This window comes from Homo sapiens, chromosome 22, assembly GCF_000001405.40.
Source record: "Homo sapiens chromosome 22, GRCh38.p14 Primary Assembly".
NCBI lineage: Eukaryota > Metazoa > Chordata > Mammalia > Primates > Hominidae > Homo > Homo sapiens.
In genome coordinates, this window is record NC_000022.11 from 20,807,979 (window position 1) to 20,830,780 (window position 22,802).

At 43.2% G+C, this 22,802-nt stretch overlaps 1 protein-coding gene across 8 annotated transcripts in view; it reads right to left on the reverse strand.

The window, feature by feature from the left end:
- Nucleotides 1-22,802, reverse strand: part of PI4KA (phosphatidylinositol 4-kinase alpha) — a 151,121-nt gene that overhangs the window by 100,288 nt on the left and 28,031 nt on the right. For 7 of the 8 annotated variants that reach the window (NM_001362862.2, XM_005261635.2, NM_058004.4 and 4 more), the window contains exons 4-9: nt 16,348-16,436; nt 12,561-12,633; nt 11,663-11,922; nt 10,505-10,571; nt 5,380-5,528; nt 2,989-3,054 (exon numbers count right to left, since the gene is read on the reverse strand). In NM_001362862.2, the coding sequence (NP_001349791.1) occupies nt 2,989-3,054; nt 5,380-5,528; nt 10,505-10,571; nt 11,663-11,922; nt 12,561-12,633; nt 16,348-16,436 (704 nt within the window). The remainder of the gene's footprint in view (nt 1-2,988; nt 3,055-5,379; nt 5,529-10,504; nt 10,572-11,662; nt 11,923-12,560; nt 12,634-16,347; nt 16,437-22,802) is intronic. The other variant, NM_001362863.2, reaches the window with a different exon arrangement.

Sequence of the window (22,802 nt, forward strand, 5' to 3'; positions counted from 1 at the left end):
GTCTAATGAGTTAAGAAAGATAATAGTCCAGCCCGGGTGTGGTGGCTCACGCCTGTAATCCCAGCATTTGGGGAGGCCAAGGAGGGTGGATCACCTGAGGTCGGGAGTTTGAGACCAGCCTGACCAACATGGAGAAACCCTGTCTCTACTAAAAATACAAAATTAGCTGGGCGTGGTGGTACATGACTGTAATCCCAGCTACTTGGGAGGCTGAGGCAGGAGAATTGCTTGAACCTGAAAGGCAGAGGTTGTGGTGAGCAGAGATCGCGCCATTGCACTCCAGCCTGGGCAACAAGAACAAAACTCTGTCTCAAAAAAAAAAAAAGGCTGGGTGCAGTGGCTCTCGCCTGTAATCCCAGCACTTTGGGAGGCCAAGGCGGGTGGATCACGAGATCAGGAGTTCAGGAGTTCAAGACCAGCCTGTCCAACATGGTGACACCCTGTCTCTTCTAAAAATACAAAAAATTAGCCGGGCGTGGTGGCGTGCACCTGTAATCCCAGCTACTAAGGAGGCTGAGGCAGAATTGCTTTGACCTGGGAGGCGGAGCTTGCAGTGAGCCAAGATCACGCCACTGCACTCCAGCCTGGGTGACAGAGTGAGACTCCGTCTCAAAAAAAAAAAAAAAAAGATAACAGTCCTTAACTTCTATATACTCCTAGTTGAGTAGGATGGAAAATTATGGTTTATCATAACTCGTTTTTTTCATTTTTTTTTTTAGAGATAGGGTCTCACTCTGTACCCCAGGCTGGAATGCAGTGGTATGATCACAGCTCACTGCAGCCTTGAACTCCTGGGCTCAAGTGATCCTCCTGCCTCAGCCTCCTGAGTAGCAGGGACTACAGGCATGTACCACCATGCCCAGCTAATATTATAATTCTTGACAAGTATAAAAGTGGTCTGCAAATATAGCAAATCTTTAAGGCGCCAGAAGTTGGCCAGAGTGGGATAGGGCATGCAGTGTGAGGTTGACAGAGGGTGAGTGAGCAGGTGGAGAAAAAAAGAATCATGTGGAGAGTGTGAGAGTCATGCCAATTCCCAGGAGGACACTGACAGGAAGAGCTGTGGTTGACAGCACTGCAATGATGGCTTTACAGACAACGTCTGGTGGTCCTCACAGGGCAGAAATGGAGAAATGAGACTGGGAGAGGTTAAAGCAGTTCAGGGCTTTGACTCTGGGAGTCCAGACAACACGAGTGTTAAACTTTGGAGCCTTGGAGACCAACCATCTTACAAGCCCACAGCCCAGCTCCATCACTCACGAGCTATGTAAATAAAGTTCCTGAGCTAAGCCTCAGTTTCCCCATATGTAAACTGGGGATTGTTGTGAGATTCAAGGAGTGAGTGAGTAAAGTTCTGGCACATAATAAGCATGTAATAATTGGTAGTGGTTATTACACTGATTATGGATACTGAGTAATATATTGCAGACTCTAGGTCAAGATTACAAGAAACTTTTTTTTTTTTAGCTATGAAACTGTTTCTTCAAATGGATGTTTATGCTAAAGAACAAATTACAAAACAAAAAATACCAGAAACTGCCCTGGTTCAATGAGAAGGAGGGTCCCAGAGGTGGAGTGCAGGCCCACTAAGTCTCCACTTGTCTAACTGCCCAGCCCAGCTCTCGCCCTGGTCCTCCTGGTCTGCCCTCAGTCACAAATGATCAAACACTTATGATGGAAAACCAAAGGTCTCTGAGACCACAAGCTCAGTCTATAGTGAGTGAGTGAGAGAGTTAAAGCTCAGGCCAATGGGCAGAACGACAACCTGAAAAAGGGTTGGAGACAAGGTAGGAACTGCCCAGATGCAACTTGGGGAGTTATAAGAACTCTGTTACTTAACCAAGAACCAACCCAGACCAAACCACGGCCAGCACATACATCTCACATCTGCAATAGCTCGTTGGCAGGGGTACGAAGCAGGAAGAGACATGGTCTACAGCACATGAAGGGCCCTGGTAGTTCCTTCCCTGCTTCATACCTGAGCCCCAGGTACAGTGGTATCAGGCACTGTGTGTCTTAAAATCAGGTGAGAGAAGGAACACCAGGCTTCAATAAGGAATCTGGGTCAGGGACATACCCATGGTAATAATTAGCCTGGCAAATGACAACCTGTCTGCATCCTAACCCTCAAGAGGGGCCTGACCCAAATGTTCCCCGAGATTTTTGAGACCTCCCAGCACCAATGTAATGATTTCATAAATAATGCTGTAGGCCTTGGTTCCAAATACATTAAAGACAAGAGTTCCAGCCGGGCATGGTGGCTCACGCCTGTAATCCCAGCACTTTGGGAGGCAGAGGCAGGCAGATCACGAGGTCAGGAGATTGAGACCATCCTGGCTAACACGGTAAAACCCAGTCTCTACTAAAAAATACAAAAAAAGTTAGCTGGGTGTGGTGGAGGGTGCCTGTAGTCCCAGCTACTTAGGAAGCGGAGGTAGGAGAATGGCGTGAACCTGGGAGGCAGAGCTTGCAGTGAGCCGAGATTGCGCCACTGCACTCCAGCCTGGGCGACAGAGCGAGACTCCATCTCAAAAAAAAAAAAAAAGTTCCCTAGTTACGCACCCCTTACACTTAAAAACCAGGACTTGCATACGCCTAGAAAAGTGTAGCTCTGAGCCCAGAGGAGCAGCTTTGGAAGCACCAAAGGAGTGAGGAAGATAAAAGAGTAGGAGAGACCCAGGCCAGACTCCCAGCTCCCACAGTAACTATGTGATGTGGGCACGTTAGTGAGTTCTCACTAAAACTCTATCTTCTGTCTGTAATGCCACCAGTCAGAGGCACCCTGAGGTGACGTATTTAAAAGAGCATGCAACGGTACCTACCACAGACCAAGCCCTCCGCGGCAGGTGGATTGTTACCACATGAACAAGGAAAGTGAAAACACTGCAAAACCCCTTCCACTCCAGCCCCCGCTCAAACTCTTCCTGCTTTCTCTACACACGTTTAAGTCAGGCTGATCTCATGGTAATGCCCTCAGAAGCGACATACCTCCATCACACTGGCTACAATGGCATCCAAAGATTTGAGAACAGCCTCCTCAACGATCTTCTTCACCTACCAAGGAAACAGAACCTCATGAAGCAACTGACATACACAGAGACAGGAATGCTAGCTCCTTCTACCGAAAACCCATGACAAACTCACATGGTGAAAAATGTGATGCAGATAAAGGCCAATAAATACAAATTATGGCTATGTATCAAACTATATGCACAAAATGCCTTTAATTCTGAAGTCACTTGGGACTGCTTTTCTACCTTAGATAGCAATGACATAAAAACAAAGGAAAAAGGCCAAACTCCCTCAGATTTGTTGACCTGAGATTTCTGTTTCCAGGATGTGCAGACCTCAGGCCTTGCTGCCATTTCACCCACTCATGGTTAACAGGCACAGTTGTGTGACATCCTCTTGCAATCCCCTCCCAGACATCAAGGACACCCTCACAGCCAGTCCTTGGAGCTCATGGCACCTCCTTCCTCTCCGGGCCAGGTGCACTGGCTCTTCTACAACTGCTTAGGTACTCAAACTAGAGCTCATATTTTAAATTTTCAATAGAAGCAATTATTTTCACCAGTTATCTGTACAGTATTTAGTGTAGGAATGAATTGTTCTGTCAACTGCAGAACCACAAAAAAAAAAAAAAAACTGCCCACATCCACAATTGTAGTATTTGATGAAAGTCATTTCCAAAATGTATAGATAATGATAAACATCCTAGGAAAAGAAATGAAAAACCGCCTAAAAGAAAACCTAGGCCAGCCGTGGTGGCTCACGCCTGTAATCCCAGCACTTTAGGAGGCCGAGGCAGGCGGATAATGAGGTCAGGAGATCGAGACCATCCTGGCTAACAAGGTGAAACCCTGTTTCTACTAAAAATACAAAAACTTAGCCGGGCGTGGTGGTGGTCACCTGGAGTCCCAGCTACTCAGGAGGCTGAGGGAGGAGAATGGCGTGAACCTGGGAGGCGGAGCTTGCAGTGAGCCGAGATCGTGCCACTGCACTCCAGCTTGGGCGACAGGGCGAGACTCCATCTCAAAAAAAAAAAAAAAAAAAAGAAAACCTAAACTTGAAGAAAGTTAAAAGTTAAAATATACTGCAAAAAATAATACCCCAAGAAAGGATGTGAAACAGTCAGTCTTCAGTTAGAATTTCTGACATGGTACTGGGAACAGCCATCTGTGAAGGTCATGGCTCTACCAGGCCACCATTCTATCTGGGGCACTGACACTGAGAAGCAGTTTAGGTAGTTTTCCTTCTTGACAGCAACTTCAAAAACATCCTAGCCTATTTAGTAATTCATTATGGTTCCATCCTCATTAATTATTACCTATGTTGTAATGTCTTCTTACATCTTCAGCCTGAAGCCATTCTCTGAGGGATTTCTATTCACACTCCACACAGCAGGGAGGTGGCCACTCCTCAGCACATGCTCCATGCTATCCAAATTGTTCTCATTTCCAAGACAGCAAGCCCAATCTTGAGAGTCTGGCCTTGATGACATCATCACCCGTACCTATTCAAATCTGTCTTGAACCATCCTAGCTTGATTGTAACAACTTCAGGGCCCCTGGATCTTTATTTTGTAATTTTTTTTGAGATGGAGTCTCACTCTGTTGCCCAGGCTGGAGTGCAGTGCTGCGATGTTGACTACTGCAACCTCCACCTCCAAGGTTCAAGCGATCCTCCTAACTCTGCCTCCTGAGTAGCTGGGATTACAGGGATCCACTACCATGTACAGCTAAAGTTTTGTGTTTTTTAGTAGAGATGGGATTTCACCATGTTGGCCAGGCTAGTCTCGAACTCCTGACCTCAAGTGATCCGCCCACTTTGGCCTCCCAAAGTTGGGATTACTGGCATGAGCCACGGCGTCCAACCAGGGTCCCTGAATCTGACCAAAGCTCTGGCCATTTAAGGAATCGAACAATGGCCCTGGTGTTTTCTCTGGTATCACCCTCAATGTCATCCAAAGGTACCCAAATATGAAAAAGTCAGGTTTTGTTATTAACCCAAATAGAGCCACCCCTTAGAGGAAGTCAAGCCCAGGAAAAGCACTGGACTTGGAGTCAGAATCCCTGGACTGGATGCAGCCCAGCTGCTGGCCTACATATCCATGACGTGTTTGACACCGATTTCCTGACCTCCAAATGGGGATGCATGGGTGCCTCCCCAACATGGTTGCTCAAGAATGAAATGAGAAACCAGTATACAATGATTCCATGAATGTTACTCTACTTCCTTCATTAATCTGCAAGTTTATGACTATTAAATTGTACTTTGAAATACTGGTACTCTGAGTTTTTCTTTTAAAAATACAAGTTTCACCACTAGCAATTTTACTGACATATCCATGGTCTGTTCATCCATCAGTTCTTTGCTTACCAGGTTTAAGAGTTCCCGAAGCATTTCCAATGGAATGTTAAACTCCTTATATGTGACACCGTTGAAAAGGGGAGAGACTGAGAAGCTGGAGCTGATGGTTGAAAAGTAGTACTCAGGCTCTAGGGCAGTCCCATCGGGCAAGCAGGAGGCTGGTGGGAGATAAAGCTGGAAACTCAGCCGTGGTGACAGGCAACTAGGGTACTTCCTCAAGCTGACTCCCCCAATAACCAACAAAGGTGCAGATTTTGCCTTTATTTATATCCCAATTCTCTGCATGTTTTTAAATTAACAACTACAGGGTAGATTGCAAATCCTTGGGGACTGATGCCCCTCACCTGTGTCTTTCAGGTCAAAGACTCAGATATGATGGTCCTAATATTTCCATCTTAGACAATATAACTTAGTATGTGGGAAGTGAAAAAAGAATTGTATCTTTTTTATTTTTATTTTTATTTTTTTGAGACAGAGTCTCGCTCTGTTGCCCAGGCTGGAGTGCAGCAGTGTGATCTCAGCTCACTGCAACCTCTGCCTCCCAGGTTCAAGCAATTCTCCTGCCTCAGCCTTCCGAGTAGCTGGAATAACAGATGCCCGTCGCCACACCTAGGTAATTTTCGTATTTTTAGTAGAGATGGCGTTTCGCCATGTTGGCCAGGCTAGTCTCGAACTCCTGACCTCAAGTGATCCACCTGTCTCGGCCTCCCAAAGTGCTGGGATTACAGGCGTGAGCCACCATGCCCAGCAGAAATACACCTTTTTAAAGGTGAAGAGATATGAAAGCTTGGGGTCCACAGGGCCTCAGAGATATTTTCTCACCAAAATTAGAAAAAAAAATGCACACTACTAGAAGTTTCAAAGTCAGAGCAACTAAGTGAAATACACCTGTCACTAAAAGACAAATACTGTACGATCCCACTTATTAGAGGAACTTAAATCATACATAGAGGTAGAATGGTAGCTATCAGTGACTGGGGGAAGGGGAAATGGGGAATAATTGATGTATAGTTTCAGTTTCACGAGATGAAAAGAGTTTTTGAGATGAATTGTAGTGATAGTTGCACAATATTATAAATGTATTCAATACTACTAAACTATACACTTTAAAATAATTAAGGCCAAGCATGGTGGCTCATGCCTATAAACCCAGAGTTTTCGAAGGCTGAGGTGGGAGGATTGCTTGAGTCCAGGAATTCAAGACCAGCCTGGGCAATATAGGGAGATCCTGTCTCTACAAAAAATAAAAATTAGCCGGATACAGCACCATGGGCCTATAGTCCCAGCTACTCAGGAAGCTGGAGCAGGAGGGTTGCTTGAGCCTGGGAGGTCGAGGCTACAGTGGAGCTATGAATTTGTCACTGCACTCCAGTCTGGGTAACAGAGTAAAATCCTGTATTAAAAAAAAAAAATGACATAGCAAATTTTATGTTATGTGTATTTTACCACAATAAAAAAAAAAGAAGGAAAAAAATCAACAAAAATAAAGTCATTCAGTCATTTGACATTTAATAAATATAAACCCAGACCCAATGCAGTGGCTCACACATGTAATCCCAGCACTTTGGGAGGCTGAGGTGGGAAGATCGCCTCATCCCAGGAGTTTGAGACCAGCCTGGGCAACACGACGAGACCCTGTCTCTACATAAATAAAATTATTTTAAATTAAAATAGAAATATAGTAAATAGGAACCCAAAAGCATATAATTGTTTGAAAATCCATTATTTAGAAACTATAATAGAAAACTATGAGGCCAGGTGTGGTGGCTCACGCCTGTAATCCCAGTACTTTGGGAGGCCGAGGCGGGTGGATCACAAGGTCAAGAGATTGAGACCATCCTGGCAAACATGGTGAAACGCTGTCCCTACTAAAAATACAAAAATTAGCTGGGCGTGGTGGCACGTGCCTGTAATCCCAGCTACTTGGGAGGCTGAGGCAGGAAAACTGCTTAAGCCCGGGAGGCTGAGGTTGCAGTGAGCCAAGATTGCACCACTGCACTCCATTCTGGTGACAGTAGGAGACTGCGTCTCAAAAAAAAAAAAAAAAAAAAACAAATCAAAACAAACAAACAAAAAACTATGATTGAAAAACAGATGAATTTGTAATATTTTCATAAGACAGTATCAATTCATAAAGAAGTGAATACTAAATTTTATGACTTTTTCAAGCACTAGAGAACAGACTCAAAGAGTTTAGTTTAGCTCCAGTTGTGTCAAAGCTGGTATCTCACAGCTGGCAGCACACTGCCAATCTGTCTAAAGAGGACGCAAACCAGCAACTTACAGCAGAAAGGATGGGCAACAATACCACTGGGAGCTGAGACGCCAAGAGGCCAACATAAGAAATGGCCACTGAAAGAGGGAACAAGTAAGGAAAGAAGGGAGGGAGAAACAGCCGGATTAAAAAGGGTAGATGAGGGAGAAGGGAAGGTTGTGATTATCGGGCACTTCTCAGAAAGACACCATGAAATATGGGCTAAGTCCTGTGTGGCTGAACCCCACAGAGGACACAGATGATGGCAAACGACAGGGGCTGCAGGAACTAGGGACCTAACATTTGGGATTTACGCAGGGGGTGTCATTGAAACTTCTTTTTTTTTTTTCCTGTGAGACAAGAGTCTCACTCTGTTGCCCAGGCTGCAGTGCAGTGTCACGATGTCTGCTCACCGCAACCTGCGTCTCCCAGGTTCAAGTGATTCTCATGTCTCAGTCTCCTGAGTAGCTGGGATTATAGGTGTGAGCCACTGCACCCGGCTAATTTTTGTATTTTTAGTAGAGATCGGGTTTTGCCATGTTGGCCAGGCTGGTCTCGAACTCCTAGTCTCAAGTGATCCACCTGTCCCAAAGTGCTGGGATTACAGGTGTCAGCCACTGTGCCCAACCTGAAAGTTTTTAAGCAGGAAAAGAAGTGATCAAATTTGCGCTATTAAAAATAATTCTTATTTATTTTTTATTTTATTTAGTTTTTAAGGGTCTCACTATGTTGCCCAGGCTAGTCTCAAACTCCTAGGCTCAAGCAATCCTCCTACATGGGCCTCCCAAGGTGCTGTGATTACAGGCGTGAGCCACATCTCCTGGCCTAAAAACAATTCTTAAAAACTAAATTCTTACAGCAGTTTGGAAGAGGGCCTGGGAAGGGAGATAGAAGGACCGGCTGTAAGAAAAGTCTTAGTATGTGGTGTTGTATACCTGAAGTCCCAGCTACTTGAAAGGGCAAGGCCAGAGGATCATTATGACTGCACCCCTGCACTCCAGCCTGGGTGACAGAGCAGGACCCCAACTCAAAAAAAAGAAAAAGTCCAAGTAAAACAGGTAGTTTGAGAGGAAACTCAGAAGGCACAGGGTCTGCTGCTGTCTGTCCTACAGTGAGGCATTTCAGAGAGCAGGGCTCGCTTGTCTCGTCACCACTACAGGCAAAGTGGGCGGCAGCCAAGTCTGATGGAGTGATACGTGGGGATCTCGCAGTCAGCCACATTAGTGTGCTCCCATCTGCCACTTACTGGATGTGCTCAAAGTGGGGCAGCGGTCATGGAGAGGAGCCCTCACCACAGAGGGTGGACAATGAGCTGTTTACCAGGAAAAGGGAAGCCTCCAAGGGCACATCATGGCCATCCTAAAATGCCCCAAAGGCAGGCAGGTGGCAGTGAGATTTTCAGAGCCTGGAGGAATACATTCTATACTTAAACAAGGAGTTGTCTCTAAGAGGTGCGATTCTGAGTGGCTGAAATTAGCTCTTATATTCTAACACATATATAGAATGTAACCTGTTACATTCTCACAGATCTAAGAGATGGAAAGCTTCCTACATTTATGTAAGCCCAGATATTCCCTTTTTCCTTCAAAATTCCCCTCACATCTCTCGAAACTGTCTTGAGACATGCTCTTTTAACAAATAGCATTATTCAAAAAAGGAGAGACTATACTGAAGCATGGAATTCTGCCTTCCCCATTTGCTGTCCCTTAATCTGGGTCTTACTTCCATCAAGTAAGGTAGAAATAATTTTAACATGTGTCTGACATGGCACAGGGTAGTCACATGAATCCAATTCAGTAAATTATGTAAAAGTACTTTGTGAACAGCAGAGCTCTATAAAAAGTAGTAATGGGCTGGGTATGGTGGTTCACGGCTGTAATCCTAGCACTTTGAGAGACCAAGGCAGGCGTTCCCTTGAGCCTAGGAGTTCCGGACCAGCCTGGGCAACATGGCAAAACCCCATCTCTACAAAAAATACACAAGTTAGTGGGCGTTGTGGAGGGTGCCTATAGTCCTAGCTACTTGGGAGGCTGAGGTGGGAGGATCACTTGAGCCCAGAAGGTTGAAGCTGCGGTGAGCCATGATCATGCCGCTGCACTCCAGCCTGGGTGGCAGAGTGAGACTCTCTCTCCAAAAAAAAAAAAAAAAAAAAAAAAAAAAAAAAAAAAAAGTAGTAACAGTAGTATTACTACATTCTTTAATATTATCTACATACTTAATGTCATTAAAAAAAAATGTCCAGCCAGGTGTGGTGGCTCATGCATGTAATCCTAGCACTCTGGAAGGAAGAAATGGGTGGATCACTTGAGGTCAGGAGTTCAAGACAAGCCTGGCCACCATGGTGAAACCCTGTCTCTACTAAAAATACAAAAATTAGCTGAGCATGCTGGTGTGTGCCTGTAATCCCAGCTACTTGGGAGGCTGAGGCAAGAGAATTGCTTGAACCCAGGAGGCAGGGCCTGCAGTGAGCCGAGACTACACCACTGCGCTCCAACCTGGGCAACAGAGCCAGACTCTATCTCAGAAAAAGAAAAGAAATATCCACCATTAGTACTTCCACCTGAAAAGAACTTTTACAAGTTAAAGTGCAAAAATTCTGATGGCAGGTATATAGGGGTCTGTAAGTTATTTTCTGTACTTTTCTCTCTAAATAAAATATTTGAAAATTAAATGTACTTTTCTCTATATATAAAATATTTGAAAATTAAATTTTAAGAAACTTAAATGAAAACAGAAAATAAATGCTTCCTAAAAGCTTGGCACTCTAGGTCCATCCATGACAACAGAGTTAGTATCAGCATCCTTAATATCACGAGAAGTCACTGTGAGCCTGTTCTCCAAGTATTACGTCAAAATATTCTTCGGAAAGGTGAAGCCCACCTTCAAAGTAGTGAAAGGCAGATCCTCCAGGGGAACTGGGAGGGGGCATGCCGCGTTCAGGGCTGACCTGAAACACACAACCACAGTTACATATCAGAAAAGACCAGTGAGACCTCCATCAGATTTGTCTTAGACAAGGTCCTCTCTGCCAGCCCAATGTTTGTACTTCAAGTTCTGGTTGAAGCCTCATTTCCTTCCTAAAGCCCATCACAGCTACAGCATTCTCTACTACATGCTATATCACTAAATTCTTTGTGTTTAGCCGTATATTTGACACTTGATTACTGAGCTGAATTGTCCTCAGTGTTTTGTGTTTTTGTCTTTTCTCCATGAGTCAATTATATACTTCTTAAGGGCACCAACTGTCTTCCAGGCAAAATAGCATTTGGCACCCAACTGCTATGAAACATATACTTTATGACTATGAAATCACTTATAAATCTTATGTTGGGGACTAGCCTCAACACCACCTGTAGGGTATTTGATGTTTGGTGGCGACAAAGGAATGAGAAGAAACAGGTTAAGAGTTTATAAAGGCGGGAGCCAGGGGACCAGAGCAAATCAGAGGCCGCAAAGGCCTAGAGTTTTGGTTTTTACACTATTTATTGAGTATAATCACTTAGATTTAAGAAGCAGATGTTTAGGGCGAAACGGTGAAAGGGAGGCAGTGTGTCATATGTGTAATCTATAGTAGCGGCAGTTTAAATGAATTTTTTTTGTGTTTAAACAGTATATTTTCAACTTATTGGACAGCAGTTAGTGGGAGCAGGCTTAACTAGGAGTCTGTATGTTTGGCCATATTTTCATGTTTTAAAGGAGTGGTTTTTTTTTTTTTAACACAGTGTTTATGGATAAGAGAGTAAGTCTTGCTCAGAGTATGGGAACATAATGGCGATAAGGCTTTTTTTTTAGAGGCCTTTTGTGGCTTTTTACACCTCATTGTTTTATATTTTTATGGCCAGTTTATATGTGCACTCTATAAGCCCTTCCCCCCAACATCTTAAGAGGGACAAGACAAGTCTTTGTATTAAAGAGAATTCTAGTGAAACATTTCACGTTACTTAAGTTTACTCCAACTACAAAGAAGAGGGATTTTCTTCGCAGGGGAGCTTAACAGGGTCTTTCTCCTCTGCTCTTTCCCCAGTAGCCCAGGCCCACCTGAGAGATGCTGGACACACTGCTGGTTTTCCTCTTCAGGGTACCCTCCTGACAGACAGTCAGCAGATTGCTGGGGAGGATGGAGCGGAAGTCATTAAAGGAACGCCTTCGAACACCTTCAAGCTCTTCCAGGACACGGAGGGAATGAGGAGGGATTTTGGGAAAGAGCTTTGAGAGGAGAGACTCTTCCATGTTGCTGTAACGCCCAAATGCTCGCGAGATTCCTATCAGGCATGGGATAGCATACTTGCAAAGGTATTCTAGAAGATCAAGTGAAAACGTTACAATATAAGAAAGTATCCTGATAGAGTCATATAGTAAGTACTAACTTGTAACATTGACTAAGATTTCACAACCCACCCACTAATAACTGTGAAGGTTCACAATAAGCCACAATAATGGGGTCCACCCCAAGGGCTGACAAGTGATATCTTCAACCTGTCATTAACAACTTCAGACTATGACTTCAATACACCCAGCTGCCCTGCTTGGAAGGTCTTCATCTATTCATGGCACACCCAAATCAATAAAATAGCTAGGCCATATTATCAAGTACCTTATACATTTATTCCTCTTAGGAGCATATTGGTAGCCTCACAACACAGAAAAAATGACCTTTGGAAGTCAACTAATCTACCCACAGATGTTACAGGTGAAGAAACTGGGGCCCAGAAGGGTGAAGTTACTTGTCCAAGGTGACCCAGCGTCTATGTAGCAGAGCAATGCACATGACCCCATGTGGCCTCTGAGGATACTAACACACAACAAATCAAACTAAAATAGGAAGGTTTTCTCCCATCATATATATTAGGTACCCAACAACAGAAAAGACTGGAGAAAAGCAAGGGAAAGAGTAACCACAAAACCATTTTAAGAAAAACCTTAAGGATACTCGTACCTTTGTCTTGAATCTCCAAGGCCTGGCACATCCCCAAGAGGACATGCAAAACCTGCAAAAGCACCTCTAAAATCTGTAACAGTCAAGGAAACAAGAAAAAAAAAACATAAACAAAATTAGGTAAATATCACGAAACTAAGTCAGAATTAGAAGGCACTTCAGACATTATCTTAACCAACCCCATATATGATACATCCCTCCACAACGACTGTGCCAAGTGGCCAACCAGCTGACTTTCCAGGGACAAAACCCTCACTCTCTGGGCTGGTTCCGAGTTCCTCCCAATACTGGGCCAATGTTGTCCTCCTGGGGCTTGTACCTACCAGCCCTTGGGGCTGCTTTTTCCTCTATTAACATATTCTGTAAACAGGTGATGGGTCCCCAAATCTTCTCTTTTCATGGGTAAACGCCCTAGCGCTTTTCAACCGTATTCTTCATGATCATAAATCCTTTGTAATGCTAATTGCCAGCTTCTGATTTTACGGTAGTCCAGTTTTCTGTCTGGAAGTGTAGTGCTCAGAATAAAATACATTAACATCTGGGATGCTGGAACTCACCCAGCATACTCACCAAACTCATCACAGATTCTACACTTCTATGTATGTGACATTAGCTTTTCTGCAGCCACTTCACACTGCTTATGTGAAGCTCATCTCAATGAGCTTATACATAATTTTTAAATTTTTTTTATTTGTTTGAGACGAAGTTTCGCTCTTGTTGCCCAGGCTGGAGTGCAGTGGCATGATCTTGGCTTACTGCAACCTCCACCTCCCAGGTTCAAGCGATTCTCCTGACTCAGTCTCCTGAGTAGCTAAGATTACAGGTGCATGCCACCATGCCTGGCTAATTTTTTGTATTTTTAGTACAGACAGGGTTTCACCATGTTAGCCGGGCTGGTCTCGAACTCCTGACCTCAGGTGATCCACCTGCCTTGGCCTCGCAAAGTGCTGAGATTATAGGCGTGAGCCACTGCGCCCAGTCCATAATTATTTAAGTTAAGAAATTTTTTTTTGTTCCTGGAAGGGTGGCTTATGCCTATAATCCCAGCACTTTTGTTTGTTTGTTTGTTTTGAGGCGCGGTTTCACTCTTGTTGCCCAGGCTGCAGTGCAATGGCATGTCTCGGCTCACCACAACCTCCGCCTCCTGGGTTCAAGCGATTCTCCTGCCTCAGCCTCCTTAGCAGCTGGGATTGCAGGCATGCACCACCACGCCTGGCTAATTTTTTATTTTTAGTAGAGACGGGGTTTCTCCATGTTGGTTAGTCTGGTCTCAAACTCCCAACCTCAGGTGATCGATCCACCCACCTCGGCCTCCCAAGGTACTGGGATTATAGGCATGAGCCACTGTGCCCAGCCAATCCCAGCACTTTGGGAGGCTGAAGCGGGTGGATCAGTTGAGCTCAGGAGTTCAGACCTGCCTGGGCAAAGTAGCAAAACCCTGTCTCTACAAAACATACAAAAATTAGCCAGGTGTGGTGGTGCGTGCCTGTGGTCAGGAGGCTGACGTGTGAGGGTCACTTGAGCCCAGGAGGCCGAGGATATAGTGAGCCAAGAACAGTGCAGGGGTTCAATGATAGCTCACTGTAGCCTCAAACTCCTGGACTCAAGCAATCCTCCTGCCTCAGCCTCCTAAGTAGCTGGGATTACAGGCATGTGTCACTATGCCCAGCTAATTTTTATTTTTATTTTTGTAGGGATAGGTTTTGCTATGCTGCCCAAGCTAGTCTCAAATTCCCGGGCTCAAGTGATCCTCCTGCCTCAGCCTCCCAGAATGTTGGGATTACAGGCGTGAGCCACCATCCATGACAATAAGCTTATAGATGAGGAAGATACCTAAGTCTTCTTTCGCACCTGCTTCTCCTGAACTATGTAATCTCTACTAACGTAGTTGGTATTTTTTATCTTTCATCTACCCCTACAAAAACTCATGGTATTAGCTTTAGCTCACTGTACAAATCTGTGATTCCCAGCTTTGTGCCTTCTCCAAATGAAATCAACTTGCTTTCCAGATCTTCATTCACAGCACTAGCTTGTTTTGCTCCAATGACAGGAGGGTCCTGCTAGGCCGATACCTCACTGATCACCCTTTGGGACAGTCCTTCAGGCAGTTCTGCAAACCCTCCAAACCATTTGGCCCTCAGCCCATATAACTGGTCCAGGATGTCAGGAAAGGTGCTTGTCCAAAGCATTTATGAAGATCCACTAGAATGCAGCAACTTCATTTCTCTCAACCATTCTTCTTAGAAAACCCAGGCAAAGAAAAAATGAAGTTGGTGTGACATGACTTGTTCATAACCAAGTCAAATCTCTTACATTTTCCTAATATTAAGTAATGCTGAATAATCTACAAAAGCTTGAAAAGCAATAGTTTTTCCATTTTATTTATTTATTTTGAGACCGAGTCTCACTCTGTTATCCAGGCTGGAGTGCAATGGCATGATCTCAGCTCACTGCAACCTCTGCCTCCCAGGTTCAAGTGATTCTCATGCCTCAGCCTCCCGAGTAGCTAGGATTACAGGCTCCTGCCACCACGCCCGGCTAATTTTTATATTTTTAGTAGAGATGGGGTTTCTTCATGTTGGCCAGGCTGGTCTCAAACTCCTGACCTCAGGTGATCCACCCGCCTCAGCATCCCAAAGTGCTAGGATTACAAGCCTGAGCCACCGCACCCAGCCACTTTTTCCATTTTATATGTTAAAGTCATGTTATCACCTTTGGTGTTGACCTCTTTATTCTGATAAATTTTATTCATAGAAAAAAGCCCTTAATGTCCAACTTTTTAATAAAAACACATTATTCTAACATATTTAAGTATTTCTTTAGCCAACCTACAAATAAATGAAGAATCTAAATTAGTCAAAATACATCACTAACTGGGAACATTTAGAATGCAGACAAGCAACTAGGCACTGTTTGGAAGAACCTAGGAACAGCAGCATACAAAAACTAACTTTCTAAGCGATAAATTTAAGAAAAAGTTGTATGATTACATTCTTTGTTTAAAGAACAGGAAAGTATGAAATACATGTTTGTAACATTTCTATCAAAATTAACAAAATCTAAAGAAAGTCTGTGCCCTTAAAGATAAAAGCTTCAGCTACCTAGAAGATTCTCTTCTAGCTGGGCACAGTGGCTCACACCTATAATCCCAGCACTCTGGGAGGTCGAGGCAGAAGGATCACTTGAGGCCCGGAGTTCAAGACCAGCCTGGGCAACATGGCGAAACCTTGTCTCTACAAAAAATACAAAACAAATTAGCTGGCATGATGGTGCACGCCTATAGTCTCAGCTACTTGGGAGTCTTAGGAGGGAGGCTGGCTTGAGGTGGACGGCAGAGGTTGCAGTGAGCCAAGATTGCACCACTGCACTCCAGCCTGGATGACAGAGCAAGACTGCCTCAAAAAAAGAAAAGAAAATGATCTTCTATGAATGACTTCAATCCCCAACAAAGAGCAAGAAAAATGAGCTGCCTCTGCCTTTTTCTGCCGCCTACCTTAAAGGACTTTCTGAAAAGCTGAAAGGGATAGTGCTGCTCATGTCTCTGCAGCCCCTGCCCTTCATTAGAAAAAAGAAAAAAAAAAAAAGAAAAGTTTAATAAGATAAGACTCGAGATCCTAAAGAGTAGTGAAAGACCTAAGCATGTCTTAGGTCTGCTGTCAACAGGATGAAATAGATAAATATCAACAAACAATTCAATCACATTTCACGTTTTTAAAATCTTTTCATCACTTTGGGACTCTATTCAATCTAATAGAAATGCATACCAAATCAACCAACACATGCTTACCTCATCCCTAAGTGAAGGATCCCTATAGGCCACATCAGACAGCAGAGTTACCAAGCAGAAGCTGAAGCTCTCTGCAACCGGGAGGGCACCTGGAAGATGTAAAAACATAAATCAGATAACCAGGAACCAGATACTGGGTCACACCTCTGGCCATCCAATTCAATATGTTCCCTCTCACCATGACCTGCCAAGGGACCAGTTTACAGCAGCTGCCCTCCTTGAGACGAGTCTCAAAAGAACAGCTATGGGCCCAATGAGTTTGCTGAGAAACACCCTTACCTTTCCTTTAAGTAAATGTTTTGGTTCAATAAACTTAAATGTTTCCTGAGCCAATAGCTAGTGTGAGATAACAAAGCCTCTCAACATGACAGATTCAATTTTTTATTCCCTAAGTAAATGTGATAAATCACACACACACACACACACACACACACACACACACACACACACACACAAAACACTCGGCTGGGCGAAGTGGCTCAAGTCTGTAATCCCAGCACTTTTGGGGGGCCAAGGCAGACGGATCACCTGAGGTCGAGTTCAAGACCAGCCTGGCCAACATGGTGAAACCCCGTCTCTACTAAAAATACAAAAATTAGCTGGGTGTGGTGGCGCACACCTGTAATCCCAGCCACTTGGGAGGCTGAGACAGGAGAATAGCTCGAAGCCAGGAAGTGGAGGTTCCAGTGAGCCGAGATCGCACCACTGTACTCCAGCCTGGGTGACAGAATGAGACGCCATCTCAAAAAAAAAAAAAAAAATCAATTTTGAATATTGAATGTTGAATCAAGGAAAAAAGAGTATCCACTATTTAATAGCTATATTCATAGTACATGACAGAAGACTTACATTTCTACTCCAGCACTTAAAATTTTAAAGTGCAGCTCTAGGCTGTTCTCAAACTTGAATGTGCCCATGCCCGGCCTAAAATTTGACCTTTTAGTAATGATGCTCTATTTAATTTGTAGTCCATCAAATTGCAGGACAGACTGGGTGCAGTGGCTCATGCCTATAGTCCTAGCACTTTAGGAGGCCAAAGCAGGCAGATCACTTGAGGCCAGGAGTTCAAGACCAGCCCAGCCAACATGGCAAAATACTATCTCTACCGAAAATACAAAAATTAGCCAGGCATGGTGATGCATGCCTGTAATCCCAGGTACTTGGGAGGCTGAGGCACGAGAATTGCTTGAACCCAGGAGGTGGAGGTTGCAGTGAACCGAGGTCAGGCCACTGCACTACAGCTTGGAGTGCAGACAGAGTGAGACTGTCTCAAAAAAACAAAAAACAAACAAAATCCTAACAAATTGCAGGTACATGCATAATTTGGGATCTGTCAGTTTTAGGCATGTTACCAGAAATGATGAAAACCCAAAGGTTAAGAGGAATACTGGCACAAACAGAATGTTTTTTAATTTTTATTTCAGGTTCAGGGGTACATACGCAGTTTTGTTATACAGGTAAACTGCATGTTACGGGGGTTTGGTGTACAGATTATTTCATCATCCCCGTAATAAGCATAGTACCCAGAAAGTAGTTTTCCCATCCTCACCTTCCTCCTATTCTCCACTCTTAAGTAGGCCCCAGTGTCTGCTGTTCCCTTCTGTGTTCATATGTACTCGAAGTTTAGCTCCCACTTACAAGTGAGAACATGCAGCGTTTGGTTTCCTGTTGCTGTGCTAATTCTCCCATAACGGTCTCCAGCTCCATCCATGTTGCTACAAAAGACGTGATCTTGGCCAGGTATGGTGGCCTCACACTTGTAATCCCAGCACTTTGGGAGGCTGAGGCAGGCAAATAACTTGAGGCCAGGAGTTCGAGACCAGCCTAGCCAACACGGCAAAACTCCATCTCCACTATAAATATAAAAATTAGCCGGGTGTAGTGGCACATGCCTATAATCCCAGCTACTTGGGAGGCTGAGACAGGAGAATCGCTCGAACCTGGGAGGCGAGGGTTGCAGTGAGCAGAGATCGCACCACTGCACTCCAAGCTGGGTGACAGAGCGAGATCGTCTCAAAAAAAGATAAAATAAAATAAAAAATAAAAGGACATAATCTTTTTCTTTTTTTATGGCTACACAGTACTCCACGGTACACATACGACATTTTCTTTATCCAGTCTTCCACTGATGGGCATTTAGGTTGATTCCTTATCTTTGTTATTGTGAATACTGCTGTAATAAACATACTTACGCATGCATCTTTACAGTAGAATGATTTACATTCCTTTGAGTATATACCCAATAATGGGATTGCTGGGTCAAATGGTAATCCTGTTTTAAATTCTTTCAGAAATTGCCAAACTGCATTCCACAATGGCTGAACTAATTTACATTCACACCAGCAGTGTGTAAGTGTTCCCTTTTCTCTACAACCTCACCAGCATCTGTTATTTCTTGACTTTTTAATAATAGCCATTCTGACTGGTGTGAGATGGTATCTCATTGCAATTTTGATTTGCATTTCTCTGATTATTAGCATCAGATGATGAGCATATTTTTCATATATTTTTGGCCACTTGTATGTCTTCTTTTGAGAAGTATCTATTCGTCCTTGGCTCACCTTTTAACGGGGTTTTTTTTTTGTTTGTAAATTTAAGTTCCTCATAGATTCTGGACTTTAGACCTTTGCATAGTTTGCAAATATTTTCTTTCATTCAGTAGGGTGGCTGTTTACTCTCTTGACAGTTTATTTTACTGTGCAGAAGCTCTTTAGTTTAATTAGGTCCCATTTGTCAATTTTTGTTTTTGCTGCAATTGCTTTTGGCATCTTTGTCATTAAATTTTTGCCATTAAATCTTTGCCAGGGTCTATGTCCAGAGTGGTATTTCCTAGTATCTTCCAGGGTGTTTATAGTTTAAGGTTTTACATCTAGATCTTTAATCCATCTTCAGTTGATTTTTGTATAAGGTGTAAGTAAGGGGTCTAGTTCCAATCTTCCGAATATAGCTAGCCAGTTATCCTAGCGCCATTTATTGAGCAGGGAGTCCTTTCCCCATTACTTGTTTTGTTGACTCTGTTGAAGATCAGATGGTTCCAGGTGTGCAGCATTATTTCTGGGCTCTCTATTCTATTTGTCTATGTGCTATTTTTTTTACCAGTACCATGCTGTTTTGGTTACTGTAGCCCTGTAGTAGAGGTGAAGTTTGAAGTTGGGTAATGTGATGTCTCCAGCTTTACTCTTTTTCAGACTACCTTAGTTATTCAGGCTCTTTTTTGGTTCCATAAAAATTTTAAAATAGTTTTTTTCTAATTCTGTGAAGAATGTCATTGGTAGTTTGATAGGAATAGCACTGAATCCATAAATTGCTCTGGGTAGTATGGCCATGTTAACAATATTGATTCTTCCTATCTATGAGCATGGGATGTTTTTCCATTTGTTTGTGTAAGCTCTGATTTCTTTCAGCAGTATTTTGTAATTCTTGCTATAGAGATTTTTCACCTCCCTGGTTAGCTGTATTCCAAGGTATTTTATCTTTTCTTTTTTTTGAGATGGAGTCTCACTCTGTCGCCCAGGCTGGAGGGCAGTGGCACAATCGCGGCTCACTGCAACCTCCGCCTCCCAGGTTCAAGCGATTCTCCTGCCTCAGCCTCCCAAGTAGCTGGGATTACAGGCGTGCACTACCATGCCCAGCTAATTTTTGTGTTTTTAGCAGAGATGGGTTTCACCATGTTGGCCAGGCTGGTGTCGAACTCCTGACCTCAAGTGATCCACCTGCCTCGGCCTCCCAAAGTGCTGGGATTACAGTCGTGAGCCACTATGCCCGACTGGTATTTTATTATTTTTGTGAATATTGTGAATGGGACTGTGTTCTTGATTTGGCTCTCAGCTTGGATGTTGTTGGTGTATAGGAATGCTTCTGATTTTTGTACATTGATTTTGTATCCTGAAACTTTGCTGAAGTTGTTTATCAGATCAAGGGGCTTTGGGCAGAGACTATAGGGTTTTCTAGGTATAAAATCATATAATCTATGAAAAGAGATCGTTTGACTTCCTCTCTTCCTATCTGGATGCCTTTTATTTCTTTCTCTTGCCTGATTGCTCTGGCCAGGACTTCCAGAACTATGCTGGATAGGAGAGGTGAGAGAGGGCATCTTTGTCTTGTTCTGGTTTTCAAGGGGAATGCTTCGAGCTTTTGACCATACAGTATAATGATGGCTATGGGTTTGTCATAGATGGCTATTATTACTTTGAAGTATGTTCCTTCAATGCCTAGAGTTTGTTGTGGATTTTTTTGGGGTTTTTTTTTGAGACAGAGTCTTGCTCTGTTGCCAGATTGGAGTGCGGTGGCGTGATCTCGGCTCACTGCAACCTCTGCCTCCCGGGTTCAAGCGATTCTCCTGCCTCAGCCTCCCGAGTAGCTGGGACTACAGATGCCTGCCACCATGCCTGGCTAATTTTTTGTATTTCAGGAGAGACAGGATTTCACCATGTTGGCCAGGATGGTCTCAATCTCCTGACCTCGTAATCCGCCCACCTCGGCCTCCCAAAGTGCTGGGATTACAGGCGTGAGCCACCACGCCTGGCCTGTTGAGGATTTTTAACATGAAGGGATATTGAATTTTATGAAAAGCCTCTTCTGTATCTATTAAGATAATCACATGGTTTTTGTTTTTAGTTCTGTTTCTGCCATGAATCACATTAATTGATTTGCATACATTGTATCGATCCTGTATCCCAGGGATAAAGCCTACTTGACCTGGTGGATTAGCATTTTGATGTGCTGCTAGATTCAGTTACCTAGTATTTTGTTGAGGATGTTTGCATCTATGTTCATCTATTGGCCTGAAGTTTTCTTTTTTTGTTGTGTCTCTGCCAGGTTTTGGTATCAGCATGATGCTACCCTCATAGAATTAGGGAGGAGTCCCTCCTCCTTAATTTTTTGTAATAGTTTCAGTAGGAGTGGTACCAGCTCTTCTTTATGCATCTGGTAGAATTCAGCTGTGAATCCATCTGGTCCTAGGCTTTCTTCAGCTGGCAGACTTTTTACTACTGACTCAATTTCGGAACTTGTTATTTGTCTGTTCAGGGATTCAATTTCTTCTGGGTTTAGTCTTGGTAGGTTGTATATGTCCAGGAATTTATCCATTTCTTCTAGGTTTTCTGGCTTGTAGGCATAGAGGTGTTTGTCTCTCTGGGTTGGGTTTTTTTATTATTATTATTTCTGTGGAGTCACTGGTAATGTCCCCTTTATCAATTTCTGGTTGTGTCTATTTGGACCTTTTCTCTTTTTTTCTTTGTAAGTCTAGCTAGTGATCTTTTTTTTTTTATTCAAAAAACCAACTCCTGGATTTGTTGATCTTCTGTATGGTTTTCATATCTCATTTCCTTCAGCTCAGCTTTGGTTTTAGTTATTTCTTATCTTCTGCTAGCTTTGGGGTTAGTTTGTTCTTATTTCTTTAGTTCCTCTAGTTGTGATGTTAGGTTGTTAATTTGAGATCTAACTTTTCAACGTCAGCATTCATGCTATAAACTTCCCTCTTAATTCTGCCTTAGCTGTGTCCCAGAGATTCTGGTATGTTGTATCTTCATTCTCATTAATTTCAAATAATTTCTTGATTTCTGCCTTAATTTCATCATTTACCCGAAGGTCATTCAGGAGCAGGTTATTTAATTTTCATGTAATTATATGCTTTCAGTGATTTTCTTAGTATTTAATTCTATTTTTATTGTGCTGTGGCCCTATGAGTTCAGTTTTTCTGAATTTGCTGAGGCTTGTTTTATGTCTTATAGTGTGGTTGATTTTAGAGTATGTTGCATGTGCAGATGAGAAGAATGTATATTCTGCTGCTTTCGAGTGGAGTGTTCTGTAGATATCTATTAGGTCCATTTGGTCAAGTGTCGAGTTTAAATCCTGAATATCTTTAACAGTTTTCTGCCCTGATGATCTGTCTAACACTGTCAGTGGGGTGTTGAAGTGTCCCAGTTATTATGTGGTTACCTAAGCCTCTTCATAGGTCTCTAAGAACTTGCTTTATGAATGTGGTTGCTTCCGTGTTCGATATGTATAAATTTGCTCCCGTGTTGGATATAGTCAAATCTTGCTGAATCAAGCCTTTTACCATTATGTAATGCCTTTCTTTGTCTTTTGTGATCTTCGTTGGTTGGAAGTCTATTTTGTCTGAAATCAGAATAGCAATCCCTGCTCTTTTTTCCATTTTCCATTTGCTTGGCAGATTTTTTTCATCCTTTTACTTTGAATGTATGGGTGTCACTGTATGTGGGATTGGTCTCTTAAAGACAGCATACCATTGGGTCTTGCTTCTTTATCCAATTTGCCACAATGTGTCTTTTAAAGGGATATTTAGTCCATTTACATTCATAATATTGATATGTGTGGCTCTGTTCCTGTCACCATATTGTTAGCTGGTTATTATGTAGGCTTGTTTGTGTGGTTGCTTTATAGTGTCACTAGTCTAGGTACTTAGGTGTGTTTTGTTATTGTTGTTGTTTGTT